The following is a 13,720-nucleotide window of genomic DNA, read 5'->3' as shown; positions in this document are numbered from 1 at the left end:
TCTTTTGCTATTGTGACTGGCGCTGCAATAAACATGGGGGTGCAGATATCTCTTTGATAATATTGATTTGATTTCCTTTGGATAAATACCTAGTAGTGGGATTGCTGGATCATATGGAAGATCTATTTTTAGTTTTTTGAGAAACCTCCATGCTGTTTTCCCTAATGGCTGTACTAATTTACCTTCCCACCCACAGTGCATCAGAGTTCCCTTTTCTCTGCACCCTTGCCAGCATTTGCTATTTTTTGTCTTTGTGGTTTTGATTTGCGTTTCCCTGTTGATTAGTGACATTGAGCATTTTTTCATACATGTGTTGGCCACTTGTATGTCTTTCTTGGAGAAATATCTATTGAGATCGTTTGTCTATTTAAAAATCAGATTTATTTATTTTTTGTCACTGAGTTGTTTGAGTTCCTTGTTTATTCTGGATATTGGCACCTAAAAATTACTCTTAATCATACCATTTGTTAAATGCTTATCATATCCTAGGAGTTTTCTAAGTTCTTGGAATACATTATCTTATTTCCCAGGCCCTATGAGGAATTCGTATTTCCATTTTACAAATGAGCGAACCAAGGCTTAGTGGAAAAAAATTAAGCAACTTACCCAAATCATGTACCTAGTAAGTGGCAGAGCTAGGATTTAAAGACAGCTCTGTCTGATCCCAAAGCCTGTTCCCTTAAAAATTATGTGGCATGGCCTCTCCAGATAAATACAAAAACAAACAAAACTAGGCATTTTACATATGTAATCCCATTCTTTAATAATCATGTAAGGAGATGTTGTTATACCCATTTTACAGGTGAGGAAAGAGACTCAGGAAGGTTAAGCAATTTTCCCCAAAGTCGCCTCCCTAATAAATGATGGACAGCGTTTGAACTCCAGCTTGTGTGACGCCAAGCTCATTGCACAATTCCACTTCCCGTTTCTGGATCTCCACCTCATTTGGCTGCATTATTTTCCCCAGTCAGGTGCTCACAGTCCGTGCACTAATGGACACTTGGTGCTTGTCAAAACCTTGCTGAATGAGTGCATGAATTGCACACCTCAGTGCATGCCCTGATGACAGGAATAGCTGCTGGAAAGGTAGATTGGTAAACTGGCCTTCTGGTTGTTTACACATTGGCTGTGACTCTGTTGAATGTGAATGAGTGTCCCCTCCCTCCCACCCCCCACCAAGATCAACTCTGCATGGACTGAGAGCCTTGTGTTTCTGAGCTGTGAGCTCTCAAATGGACTCAGATATTGTACACTGTGAGGGGCAGTGGTCCTCCTCTGTGACACCCACCTCTCAACTTTTTTTTTTTCTTTTTTTTTTGAGATGGAGTCTCGCTCCGTTGCCAGGCTGGAATGCAATGGCACGATCTCAGCTCTTGCAACCTCTGCCTCCTGGGTTCAAGTGATTCGCCTGCCTCAGCCTCCTCAGTAGCTGGGATTACAGGCACCTGCTACCATGCCCGGCTAGTTTTGTATTTTTAGTAAGAGACGGGGTTTCTCCATGTTGGTCATGCTGGTCTCGAACTCCCAGCCTCAGGTGATCCGCCCATCTCGGCCTCCCAAAGTGCTGGGATTACAGGTGTGAGCCACCGTGCCCAACCTCTCAACTTTTAAAGCTGCACACTGTTAACTGAAGTTCTTGTCCCCCCTACTTCAGGACAAGCTACAGGGTATATGCATAATTTTTCTTCTAGCACCAGCCAGTCACAGGGGTGTTCATAGAGCAGACATTTGAAGCTGCTGGAAGGGAACTGAAGGTTATCTGGTGAGTACAGAGGCATCGGCTGACGTGAGGGCTGGTGTCCTAAACCATGGTAATCTAGTGCATCCCTATCAATACATAATTCTGTGCTAGGCAGTGAGGGTGCAGGCCCGCCTACATCACAGACCCTGCCCAGGAGGTCACATGTAAACAAGTAGAGGCAAATATCTGCTTGCTGGACACCCCACTGAAGCTTGCCCTTCGTGAAATCTCTGATGCTCTGAACAGCATGTCTCCCTGCCTTCGTGACCTGCCCATCCCATGGCTAGGCTGCACCTACGCCACACCACTGGCATTCATGTCACTTGATTGCAGTTGCCTGTTTCCTTCTCTGACTTCCTTACTGGGCCAAGCAACTGGAGGGCAGGGGACTCATGCTTGAGAAGAAAGGATTCTGGACTTTGGCTGAGGAACAGGCCTTTAGTTCCAAAAGGGACAGAGGCAGGAAGCAGAGGTGTTTGAGGAAAGATAGGGGTCCAGGTGAGGGATCACTGGAGACTGACACAAAGTCTTCCTCCTCCGAAGTGTGGAGCTGTGATCCCACCCAGCAGCCATCCTGCATTGTCCCATTCCTGGAAAAAGAAAAAAACACAAAATGGCATTGATTCTGCCTGCGCAGCGTCCTACGTGTAGCAGATGACAGAGAAATGTGGATGGATCAGAGCAGGCCCTACAATATTGGATTGGTGTTGTCTTGGTCACATTGAAGACACACACAGCACCCCAGTGACAAATTCTCAGGGGTTGCAGGAGCTGCTGATCCCAGGACTGTCCTGTGCCTTAAAACTGGGGGACGCCCATGATGTTGGAACCCAAATACCCTTCTTCCCGTCAGCATAGTCTCAGCAGCTTTCTTTTGAGATATTCGAGCTGCCCTAATTTAGATAGTCTGTGGATAAGAAGAACAAAATCTCTGCCCCAATGGGTGTGTTGGAGAAGTGGTCCCCGGGTCTAATGGCGACGTGATGGGAGTGGCATTAGACTGATCATGGCTGTTAGAATTAGGAAGGTGCCAATGGCCTTGCCGTGCTGACAAAGCCTCGTCACCCATGCTCTCTCACTGTCCTCCTCACACCTTGGGAGGTGGCAAGTATACATTTTATTCCTTCATTTTATGGACGAGGAAGCCGAGACTCAGAGAGATGATTTGCCTCCAGTTGGGGGGTCAGGTGTCCTGATTCCCAGCTTCAGAGCTCTTCCCCCTGACTAGGGACTAATAGTCCTGTGTGGTGCATCTGGGTCCCAGGGATTTGCCTCTCTTCCCTCAGCTGGATTTCCTTTACTCCAGTGCTTTTGAAAGTTTCACATGAGGGGAGGCAGGATCCAAGTCATAACCCTGATAGCTAACACTATCCCAGAAGATCCACTCAGGTGTGCTGTCTTCAGACCTGTGAGGATGCGTTTTCCTTTATGCTACAGATTTTCATTAGCCACTGCATATCCTGCCCGGGGGGCGCCAGACACTGGAGATGCAAATGGACCCCAGAGTGGGGACTTCTTTTGTAAGACAGCATTGAAAAATATGAAAGATTTTAGGCCGGGCATTGTGGCTCACACCTGTAATTGCAGCACTTTGGGAGGCTAAGGTGGGTGGAGGTCAGGAGATTGAGACCTTCCTGGCTAACACGGTGAAACGCCATCTCTACTAAAAATACAAAAAATTAGCCGGGCGTGGTGGCGGGTGCCTGTAATCCCAGCTACTCGGGAGGCTGAGGCAGGAGAATCGCTTGAATCCGGGAGGCTGAGCTTGCAGTGAGCCAAGATCGTGCCATTGCACTATAGCCTGGGCGCCAGTGTGAGACTCCGTCTCAAAAAAAGAAAAGAAAAACATGGAAGATTTCACCTAAAAATTCAGATTTCTGGTTCCTTGGACAGTCGGAAGCCCTTGTACTCTGGGACATACCGACATGATAGATTTTCCAGGAGCCAAGTTTCAGCTGACCTTTTAGACCCAAAGTTGGGGACTGAATGCTCATAGAAAAGAACGAGTGACTCCCTATCCATGTGTGTGTGTGTGCTCTCCCCTTCCAGGTGTGCGTGTGTTCTCCCCCTCCAGGTGTACGTGTGCACTGTCCCCCTCCAGGTGTGTGTGTGCTCTCCCCCTCCAGGTGTGCGTGTGCTCTCCCCTCCAGGTGTACGTGTGCTCTGTCCCCCTCCAGGTGTGCGTGTGCTGTGTTCCCCTCCAGGTGCGCGTGTGCTCTCCCCCTCCAGGTGTGCTTGTGCTCTCCCCCTCCAGGTGTACGTGTGCTCTGTCCCCCTCCAGGTGTGCGTGGGCTGTATCCCCTCCAGGTGTGCTTGGGCTCTGTCCCCCTCCAGGTGTGCATGTACTCTCCCCCTCCAGGTGTGCATGGGCTCTGTCCCCCTCCAGGTGTGCATGTACTCTCCCCCTCCAGGTGTGCGTGGGCTCTGTCTCCCTCCAGGTATGGGTGTGCAGTGTTCCCCTCCAGGTGTGCGTGTGCTCTGTCCCCCTCCAGGTGTGTATGTAGGCTCTGTCCCCCTCCAGGTGTGTGTGGGCACTGTCCCCCTCCAGGTGTGCATGTGCTGTGTCCCCCCTCCAGGTGTGGGTATGCACTATTCCCCTCCAGGTGTGTCTGTGCTCTGTCCCCCTCCAGGTGTGTGTTTGGGCTCTCCCCCTCCAGGTGTGCATGTGCTCTGTCCCCCTCCAGGTATGTGTGTGGGCTCTGTCCCCCTCCAGGTGTGCATGTGCTCTGTCCCCCTCCAGGTGTGTGTGTGGGCTCTCCCCCTCCAGGTGTGTGTGTGCACCCACATCTGCCCCATCATTTATTCCCCATTGCTTGCCTTACCTCTGTGTTTATCTTTACTCATTTATTCATTCATTCAATGGATATGTACCACATGCCCTCTATCTGCCAGCCCTAGAGGATTTAAACAGCTAAGACATTGTTTCCCAGGGCTATTGTTAACAAAGCAACAGAAACTGTGTGGCTTAAAACAACAGAAATTCAGTTTTAGTTTTTGGCTGGGCACGGTGGCTCATGTCTGTAATCTCAGCACTTTGGGAGCCCGAGGCAGGCAGATCACTTTAGGAGTTTGAGACCAGCCTGGCCAACATGGTGAAACCCCATCTCTACTAAAAACAGAAAAATTAACCAGGCGTGGTGGTGGATGCCTGTAATGCCAGCTACTCGGGAGGCTGAGGCATGAGAATCGCTTGAACCTTGGAGTGCAGTGAGCTGATATCACGCCACGGCACTCCAGCCTGGGCGACAGAGTGAAATTCCGTCTCAAAAAAAAAAAAAAAGAAATTCATTTTTTCACAGTTCCATAGTCCAGAGGGTACAAAATCCTTGGGTTGGCCACTGCATGCACTCTCCAGCATCTGGTGGCTGCCGGCAGTCTTTGGCGTTTCTCAGCTTGCAGCCATAGAGCTCCAAATCCGCCTCTGTCATCACTTGGTTTCATTGCCCTTGCGTAAAGTATCTTCACTTGGCGTTTTCCTCTCTGTGTCTCTCTCTCTTTTTTTTTTTTTTTTTTTTTTTTGAGATGGAGTGTCGTGCTTGTTGCCCAGGCTGGAGTGCAGTGATGCGATCTCGGCTCACCGCAACCTCTGCCTCCCAGGTTCAAGTGATTCTCCTGCCTCAGCCTCCTCAGTAGCTGGGATTGCAGGCGCCCGCCACCACGCCTGGCTAATTTTTGTATTTTTAGTAGAGATGGGGTTTCACCATTTTGGCCAGGCTGGTCTTGAACTCCTGACCTCAGATGATCCACCCGCCTTGGCCTCCCAAAGTGTTGGGATTACAGGTGTGAGCCACCTCGCCACCGCACCCGGCCTCTGTGTCTCTTCTTATAAGGACACCAGACATATTTAATTGAAGACCTGCCCTATTCCAGCATGACCACATTGTAACTCAATTAAATCTGCAATAACCCTATTTTCAAATAAGGTCTCGTTCACAGGTACCTGGGGTTAGGTGTTAAACATATTAGATTCTGTTTTGTTTTGTTTTTTCTTCTGGAGGGTCTAGTGAGAGAACATATCGCTTTGGGGACATGATTTAAAAAAACTTCAAATCACACGAAATGTAGAGCATGGCCCTTGCTCATCATCCACTCTGGGAGACTCCTAAAGCGTCAGCCAGTGCCCGGCGGCAGCTGTGGTTTGGTGGCCTTGTTGCTTCAGATACACTCATCACTGGATCCCCACAATAGCAGTCCTCTGACAGAGATTCTGTTGCTGCTCCACTTCTGCACAGATGAGGAAACTGAGGCACAGAGGGGTTATACAGCTTGACCGAGGCTACAGTTAAAACCTAAGTTACTATATCCAAATATATGCAAAATAAAAACCAGGCACGGTGTTGCCCACCTATAATCCCAGCTACTCTGGAGGCTGAGGCAGGAGGATCACTTGAGCAGAGCTGGTGTGTGGATACGGGCAGGAGGCTGGGTCCTGAGAGATGAACAGCGTGTGTTTCCTGGTAAAGCCCAGCAGGCTGCGTTCTGTTTCCCATCAGACTCCTCTCTTGTGATGTGGACAGCAGGAAACTAACCTATATTTTGGTCACTCTCCTGAAATCAAGTCTGCCGTCATTTAAATACCCTCACAAGGTAGGACAGGCTATCCTGCCAATTTCCCAGGGTGACCATCTTACAAGGAGACGGACAGTACAGAAGCAAGGGCTTCTGGTATAAGGTAAAACGAATCTGATTATCTTCTTGACCCAGAAGGTGATATTTCTTTTTTTATTTTTATTTTTTTTAGGTGGAGTCTCGCTCTGTCGCCCAGGCTGGAGTGCAGTGGCACAATCTCAGCTCACTGCAACCTCCGCCTCCCAGGTTCCAGTGATTCTCCTGCTTCAACCTCCTGAGTAGCTGGGACTATAGGTGCACACCACCATGCCCAGCTAATTTTTGTATTTTTAGTAGAGACAGGGGCTTCACCATATTGGCTGGGCTCCTGGTCAGGAGTGTCGAACTCCTGACCTTGTGATCCGCCCGCGTCGGCCTCCCAAAGTGCTGGGATTACAGGCATGAGCCACTGTGCCCGTTTGTTTTTTTGTTTGTTTGTTTGTTTTTTGACAGGGTCTTGTGTAATGGCTTGATCTAGACTCATTGCAGCCTCTGTCTCCTGGGTCCAAGTGATCGAAGCCTCCCAAGTAGCTGGGACTACAGGCATGCGTCACCACGCCTGGCTAATTTTTGTATTTTGTATTTTGTATTTTTTGTAGAGAGTTTCACCATGTTGGCCAGGCTGGTCTCCAACTCCTGGCTTCAAGTGATCCACCCACCTTGGCTTCCCAAAGTGCTGGGATTACAGCTGTGAGCCACCACACCCGGCCCAGAATGTGATGTTTCTAACCTTACGTTTACACAAATTTATGTCCATATTTAGGGTCAATTTCTTAGGTCTCTGTCATGTTCTCTAGTAGATGGAAGAACCATCCAGAAACCATTGCATGCTCTAAATAACCTTTCTTTTGTGGTACTGCTTTCTCTAAGCAAATATAGTTAGCACCAGATGGGACTGTTGCAATACAGAGTTTTTAACAACAAAAAAAAATTGATTCATTTAGGGTTTCCTTAAATTAGGTGAGCGATTTTTTTCCTTGAGCACTGAACTCCCACATTCAATATTCCCGGCGTGACATTTTGTGCTGTTATAGTTGGTAAGTGAAGCTCAGCTATTCTGAGCTTTATGTGCCAGGAGCCTGTGCTCAGAAATCCTTTTTTTAGTTTCGCTCATAAAGGCTACTTGTATGTTTGGGTATTTCATGCAGAAGGAAGTCTTCCGGGCTGGGTCATTCACATTCCATGCTCTCTTGCTAGGCATCTACAAAGTTCATAGCCATTTTTAACACACACCTTTGCTGCGATAAAATCACAGTCAGAATTTAAAGCCATGACTGGTCTATTTCCTTTAGCATAATGTCTTCGGGGTTCATCCGTTAAGCTAAGGGAAATAAGCCAGTTTCAAAAGGAGAATTACTATAGAATTCTATTAGTATGAGGTACCCAGAGCAGGCAAATTCATAGAGACAGAAAGGCTGGGGCAGGGGCTAGAGGGAGTCATGGTTCAATGTTTCGGAGTCTCAGTTTTACAAGATGAAAAAGTTCTGGAGATGAATGTTGGTGAGAGTTGAAAATAATGTAAATAGACTTAATGCCGCTGAACTGTACACTTGAAAAGGGTTAAAATGGTAAACTTTAACCATTATTTTACCACAATAACAAAAAGCCACTACCCTACAATAATAGCCTAAGTGACTACATCCAAATATATGCAACATAAAAGCTGGGCATGGCGTTGCACACCTATAGTCCCAGATACTCGGGAGGCTGAGGCAAGAGGACCACTTGCACGCACAGCAGTTCAAGGCTGTGCCGTGTTATGATCACGCCTGTGAATAGCCACTTATTTCCAACCTGGGCAACAGAGTGAGACCCACATCTCTTAAAAAAAAAAAAGCAAATATATACAAAATGGTGAATATATAAATGATTACATTTCTGCAATTAAACATGATGTATGCCATAAATATTAATTATAATCATGTATATATGAAATTTGCTTTTGGTTTGTATATTTCCAGATTTTTCAAATTGAAACTTTCCTTGGCAAACAGAAATTATTTTAACTCTCTGACTTACTAACTCTGTGACTTTGAACAAGTCTCTTTTGTATTTTGAGCTATTAGTGTCCTGTATAATAGGAATGATAGTACTCTACAGGGTGCCCACCCCTGTCCAAATTGTAAAGCTGTGAAATTTGCTCAGCAACGCAGGTAGAAACCAAAGTAAATTGAGATCATCTTTCAGTAGGGTTTAAGTGGTAATGGGAACAAGTGCAGTGCTGGAAATCTCTTAGCCCCATAGCACGGCAGTCCCAAGCCCGAGTCCTTCAGGGGCCAAGCAGGTGATGGCAAAGTGGGAAGCAGGCTGGGGCAAGGCAATAAGGAACAGCAGTAATTGTGGCAAACCGGAGGGCCTCAATTTAGAGGCATTTATATTCAGTTAGAAAAAAACAAAAACTCCATGCAGGGCAAACAAAACTTGGACGGATTTTATCTGGCCAGTGGGCCACCGGTTTGCAATTTCTGCTTCACTTTTTAATTTAATTAATTAATTAATTAATTAATTACTTTTTGAGATGGAGTTTCACTCTTGTTGCTCAGGCTGGAGTGCAATGGTGCAATCTTGGCTCAGCGCAACCTCCACCTCCCAGGTTCCATTGATTCTCTTGCTTCTGCCTCCCGAGTAGCTGGGATTACAGGCATGGGCCACCATGCCTGGCTAATTTTGTATATATATATATTTTTAAATTTTTATATGTTTGTTTGTTTGTTTTGAGAGAGTCTTACTCTGTCTCCCAAGGTGGGGTGCAGAGGTGCAATGTCAGCTCACTACAACTTCGGCCTCCTGGGTTCAAGCGATTCTCGTGCCTCAGCCTCCCAAGTAGCTGGTATTACAGGCATGCACCACCATGCCTGGCTAATTTTTTGTATTTATCACATTGTCTTGGTATTGAACTCCTGAGGTCAGGTGATTTGCTTGCTTTGGCCTCCTAAAATGCTAGGATTACAGACGTGAGCCACTGCACCCAGCCTGCAATTTCTGTTTTAGAGTGAGAGATGCTTAGATCTAGAAGGGACATGGAAGGCCTTTTGGTCCCAACCCCTATTTTTCAGAAGAGAAACCATGACTAATATATGGGCTGCTTTAGGAAGAGCTGGTCTAGAATCCAGGTGTTAGACAATTATTTTCAGGGCTCTCTTCTACCTCCCTGCCAGCTAGAAACATTTTTTATTTTCAGATAATGTATCCTTCCAAGTTTGAATTTGAATCTTTTTTTAAACGTAGATACATTTGTTTAATTTTGTGTTACTGCCCAGATCAAGTCAGCTCCTAGTACTTTTCTATTTTAATGATAGCTGCCACCTCCCAACAAAACCCAGCATTCAATGTTCAACAGAAATTCTGATATGCATACTATGTGCCTACGAGCCTTTTAAAATTGCAATGACAGTGTTTTTATTTGGTTCTTTGGATTAAATTGTCTAAAGAATTTATTGTGAACATTATTGTATCTCTGATTCTGTTGGCCTTCTATGAAATTTTACACGTCTTGAGACAGACGGATTTTTATCTTTGGTTCTCAGGTTATTAACATGTACTGTGAGAATTTAGATTGTTTTAGTAGAACTCTAACCCGGGGCACAAACTGGCAGGCCTGGGATGAGCAGGGCCTCTGTAGGCATGTCATGCTCGCCAGCACTATGCTTCAAAATACCTTTTTCCAGGCCGGGCATGGTGGCTCACGCCTGTAATCCCAGCACTTTGGGAGGCTGAGGTGGGTGGATCATGAGGTCAGGAGTTTGAGACCAGCCTCGCCAACATGGTGAAACCCCGTCTCTACTAAAAATACAAAAATTAGCCGGGCGTGGTGGCACATGCCAGTAATCCCTGCTCCTTGGGAGGCTGAGACAGGAGAATCGCTTGAACCCGGGAGGCAGAGGTTGCGGTGAGCTGAGATCGCACTGGAGAGCTGGAGACTGCACTCCAGCCTGGGTAACAGAGTAAGACTCTGTCTCAAAAAAAAATAAAAATACAAATAAAAATAAATAAATAAAGTGGAATGAGAAAATAAAAAACTTGCCCAAAAGAATGATCAAGTTCTCTAGGGAATGTCCACACTGCAGGGAGCAGCCAAGATGTACAATCAATTTAGTGGGGCCAGAGGAGCATTTAAATTTTTTTTTGGCCAGGCGCAGCGGCTCACACCTGTAATCCAGCACTTTGGGAGGCAGAGGCAGGAGGATTGCTTCAGCCCAGAAGCTCAAGACCAGCCTGGTCAACATAGTGAAACCTCACCTCTACAAAAAACACAAAAATTAGCCAGGCATGGTGTTGTGTGCCTGTAGTCCCAGCTACTTGGGAGGTTGAGGCAAGAGGATCTCTTGAGCCTTGGAGATCAAGGCTGCAGTGAGCTGCACTTGGCCTGGCCCCCAGAGCAAAAGACAGGAGCATCAGGAAGTACGGAGGAAATGGGCAACAGCCCAGCTTTAGCCTGGGCAATAGGGCAAGACCCTATCTCTTAAAAAAATTTATTGGCCAGGTGCGGTGGCTTACACCTGTAATCCCAGCACTTTGGCAGGTTGAGGTGGGTGGATCACTTGAGGTCAGGAGTTCAAGACCAGCCTGGCCTACATGGCAAAACCCCCGTCTCTACTAAAAATACAAAAATCAGCCGGGTATGGTGGAGGGTGCCTGTAATCCCAGCTACTGGGGAGGCTGAGGCAGGAGAATCACTTGAACCCGGGAGGCAGAGGTTGCAGTGAGCCGAGATCCTGCCATTGTACTCCAGCCTGGGCAACAAGAGTGAAACTCTGTCTCAAAAAACAAAAAAGATCTTATTTTTTAGAGCAGTTTAGAGCAGTTCCAGGTTCATAGCAAAATTGAGAGGAAGATACAAACTATCCCAAGTGCCCCCAGCACCCCCAACATGCAGAGCCTGCCCTGTTATCAGCGTCTCCCTGGGTAACGCATTGATTGCCCCTGATGACCCAACATGGACACATTGTAACCACCTGGTCCATGCTACATTCGGGCTCACTCTTGGTGTCGCACATTCTATGCAGCAAAACATTTTTAAAAATAAAAGCAGCACAGAGTAGGTCAGGGTGCTTTGCATCTGGTGACGGTAAGTACAGTATCGTTCTGGGAAACGTTCTGTTTCAGTTACATATTTGAATGTGTGTGCTGTTTGTCATGCAAAATTCTTCCCTAACTGTGAGTTGTGGTGACAAAAGATTGAGAGAGACTTTGGGAGTTCAAGGGATGAAGAGGCACATCAGGTTAGGGAGAGCCTGGAAGGGCTTTTTGGGGTCAGGTACCCTGGAAGATAGGGAAAGAAGGGAGAAAACCCAACAGAGGCCAAGAGTATTGGGGGAGGGATTGAGGGGACAGTGAGGAGTGTGGAGGATGCCCGGGAGGGGGCAGGTGGGTGGCAGTGACCGGAAGGGTGGTGAGACCATGGGCGGGGTGGAGCCCTGGAAGGCTGTGAGGAGGGGTTGGGGTCTGAACCTGTGCTCCTGCTTACTGGATGAGTAAACCCCAGCACTTACTTAGTCTCTCTATGCCTGTTTTTCAGCAGTGGGATGGGGGCAGTTATGGTGCCCGTCTGGGAGGGTTGGTGCCAGTGCCAGGTGAGTAAATTGTGGGATTCCCCTGGCACAGTATATGAAGTATCAGAGGCACCTATCTTTAGCTGTAATTATGGTCAGACTGCTTAGGGAGACTTGTGGGGTAGCACTCTCTAGAATAGCTTGGGCTGACCAGTACAGGGTGCAGATTGGAGGTGCTGAGAGCCGGGATGAATGGCTGTTCTGATGAATGGCTGTTCTGATGAATGGCTGTTATTTTCATTTATTTATTTATTAGAGACAGGGTCTTGCTCTGTTACCCATGCTGGAGTTCAGGGTGCGATCAAGGCTCACTGCAAACTCTACCTCCTTGGCTCAAGTGATCCTCCCACAACGCCTAGCTAATTTTTGTGCCTTTTGTAGAAACAGGGTTTCATCATGTTGCCAAGGCTGGTCTCGAACTCCTGGGCTCAAGGGATCCGCCTGCCTCGGCCTTGAAAAGTGCTAGGATTACAGGCGTGAGCCAGCGTGCTAGCTTGGCTGTTCTTCGATGTTTTGTTCTTGGGGAGTAGTCCACAATCACTGTGCTTGTTGTATTGGCTTGGCTGATAGTACAGAGGTTGATCTGCTACACGCTGAGTTTGGGGCAGGGGAGGGTGCGGACTATGTATGTTTGTGGCTTCAGGAGACTCCTCCAGGGCCTGGCCCCACTATGAGCAGTGCCGTGCTGCAGGGCTGTCTCTGTCATCCCGGCCGGATTCCCCATGGTGGCTGCCCACTGTGCCATGACATCTTCAGGAGTTGGGCCATGCCTCCCACCCCATCGACACCTGGGGAGAGCCTTGGCCATTTTGTTTTTTAAACCTGTAGAGCACAAAGAGATGTTGCCATTCCCCTCATTGAGACACACACCCCTCTTCCCCTCCTCGTGCCAAGCCCTATTTTTGGTTCCTGGTTATAAGCTGGCTTTAGGGAGCCCCCTGCAACTGCCTGGTAGCTTTCTGCTCTTGCTTTTTTTTTTTTTTTTTTGAGACAGAGTCTTACTCTGTCGCCCAGGCTGAAGGGCAGTGGTGCAATCTCGGCTCACTGCAACCTCCACCTCCTGGGTTCAAGAGATTCTCCTGTCTCAGCCTCCCAAGTACCTGGGACTACAGGTGCCCGCCATCATGCCTGGCTAATTTTTGTATTTTTAGTAGAGATGGGGTTTCACCATGTTAGCCAGGCTGGTCTTGAACTCCTGACCTCAAATGATCTACCCACCTCGGCCTCCCAAAGTGCTAGGATTACAGGCATGAGCCACTGCGCCCGTCCCACTATTGCTTTTGAAAACACAAACACCACTGACGCAGCCTGAACAATATAATCCGTTGCTTTTAGAGACCTGGCCCTTTAGAACAAAAAGCCTACTTCATTCTCCTGGGATGAGCAGGGGCCTCTCTGCACTCTTCTACCCACAAAAAAAACTAAGCACCATCTCCATCTTCAGCAGCCCCTCCACTCCCTTCACCCGCAAGCCTCTGCTCTTGGCCAGATTAACGGCTTTTTGTGGCTGGAGATCGCACAAGTGCTGTGCCCAGAGCAGTTTCCTGTCCCCATCAGAGTGGTGAGAGAGTCTTAGGAAATGATCTTAGGAAACGGCCCTACAGTAAAAGTTCCAGCTGGCACAGTCATGCAAATATCACCAACAGCTGCTTTTCACCTGGGAGAGTCAGGGTGGGTGGGACCAAAGGGCCGGAGAAGGCGTCTTCTCAGGATCAGATTGAGGAGGGGGATCCTCACCTGCAGGGGTGTCCTGTATTGGCATCGACCTGTCGTTAATCCAGCAAACACACCCTGAAGACTTCTCCTGCCCATGCGGAGC

At 47.7% G+C, this 13,720-nt stretch overlaps 1 long non-coding RNA gene across 1 annotated transcript, besides 2 other annotated features; it reads right to left on the bottom strand.

The window, feature by feature from the left end:
* Positions 11,540-11,629: an enhancer, noted in NCBI's record as "active region_9100". NCBI's record gives its function as "activates an Ori minimal core promoter by ATAC-STARR-seq in GM12878 lymphoblastoid cells {active_cell/tissue: GM12878}" and the evidence as "EXISTENCE:reporter gene assay evidence [ECO:0000049][PMID:35858748]".
* Positions 11,650-11,699: an enhancer, noted in NCBI's record as "active region_9099". NCBI's record gives its function as "activates an Ori minimal core promoter by ATAC-STARR-seq in GM12878 lymphoblastoid cells {active_cell/tissue: GM12878}" and the evidence as "EXISTENCE:reporter gene assay evidence [ECO:0000049][PMID:35858748]".
* LOC105378183 (uncharacterized) lies at positions 12,434-13,689 on the bottom strand. Its single transcript, NR_135269.1, has 2 exons — positions 13,639-13,689; positions 12,434-12,723 (listed from the first exon to the last, which is right to left on the bottom strand). It is a non-coding gene; the product is annotated as an uncharacterized LOC105378183 (long non-coding RNA).
* Between the last annotated feature and the right edge of the window lie 31 nt (positions 13,690-13,720).

This window comes from Homo sapiens, chromosome 14, assembly GCF_000001405.40.
Source record: "Homo sapiens chromosome 14, GRCh38.p14 Primary Assembly".
Lineage (NCBI taxonomy): Eukaryota > Metazoa > Chordata > Mammalia > Primates > Hominidae > Homo > Homo sapiens.
Note: the sequence above shows the minus strand (reverse complement) of the source record. Positions and strands in the feature narration are given on the sequence as shown.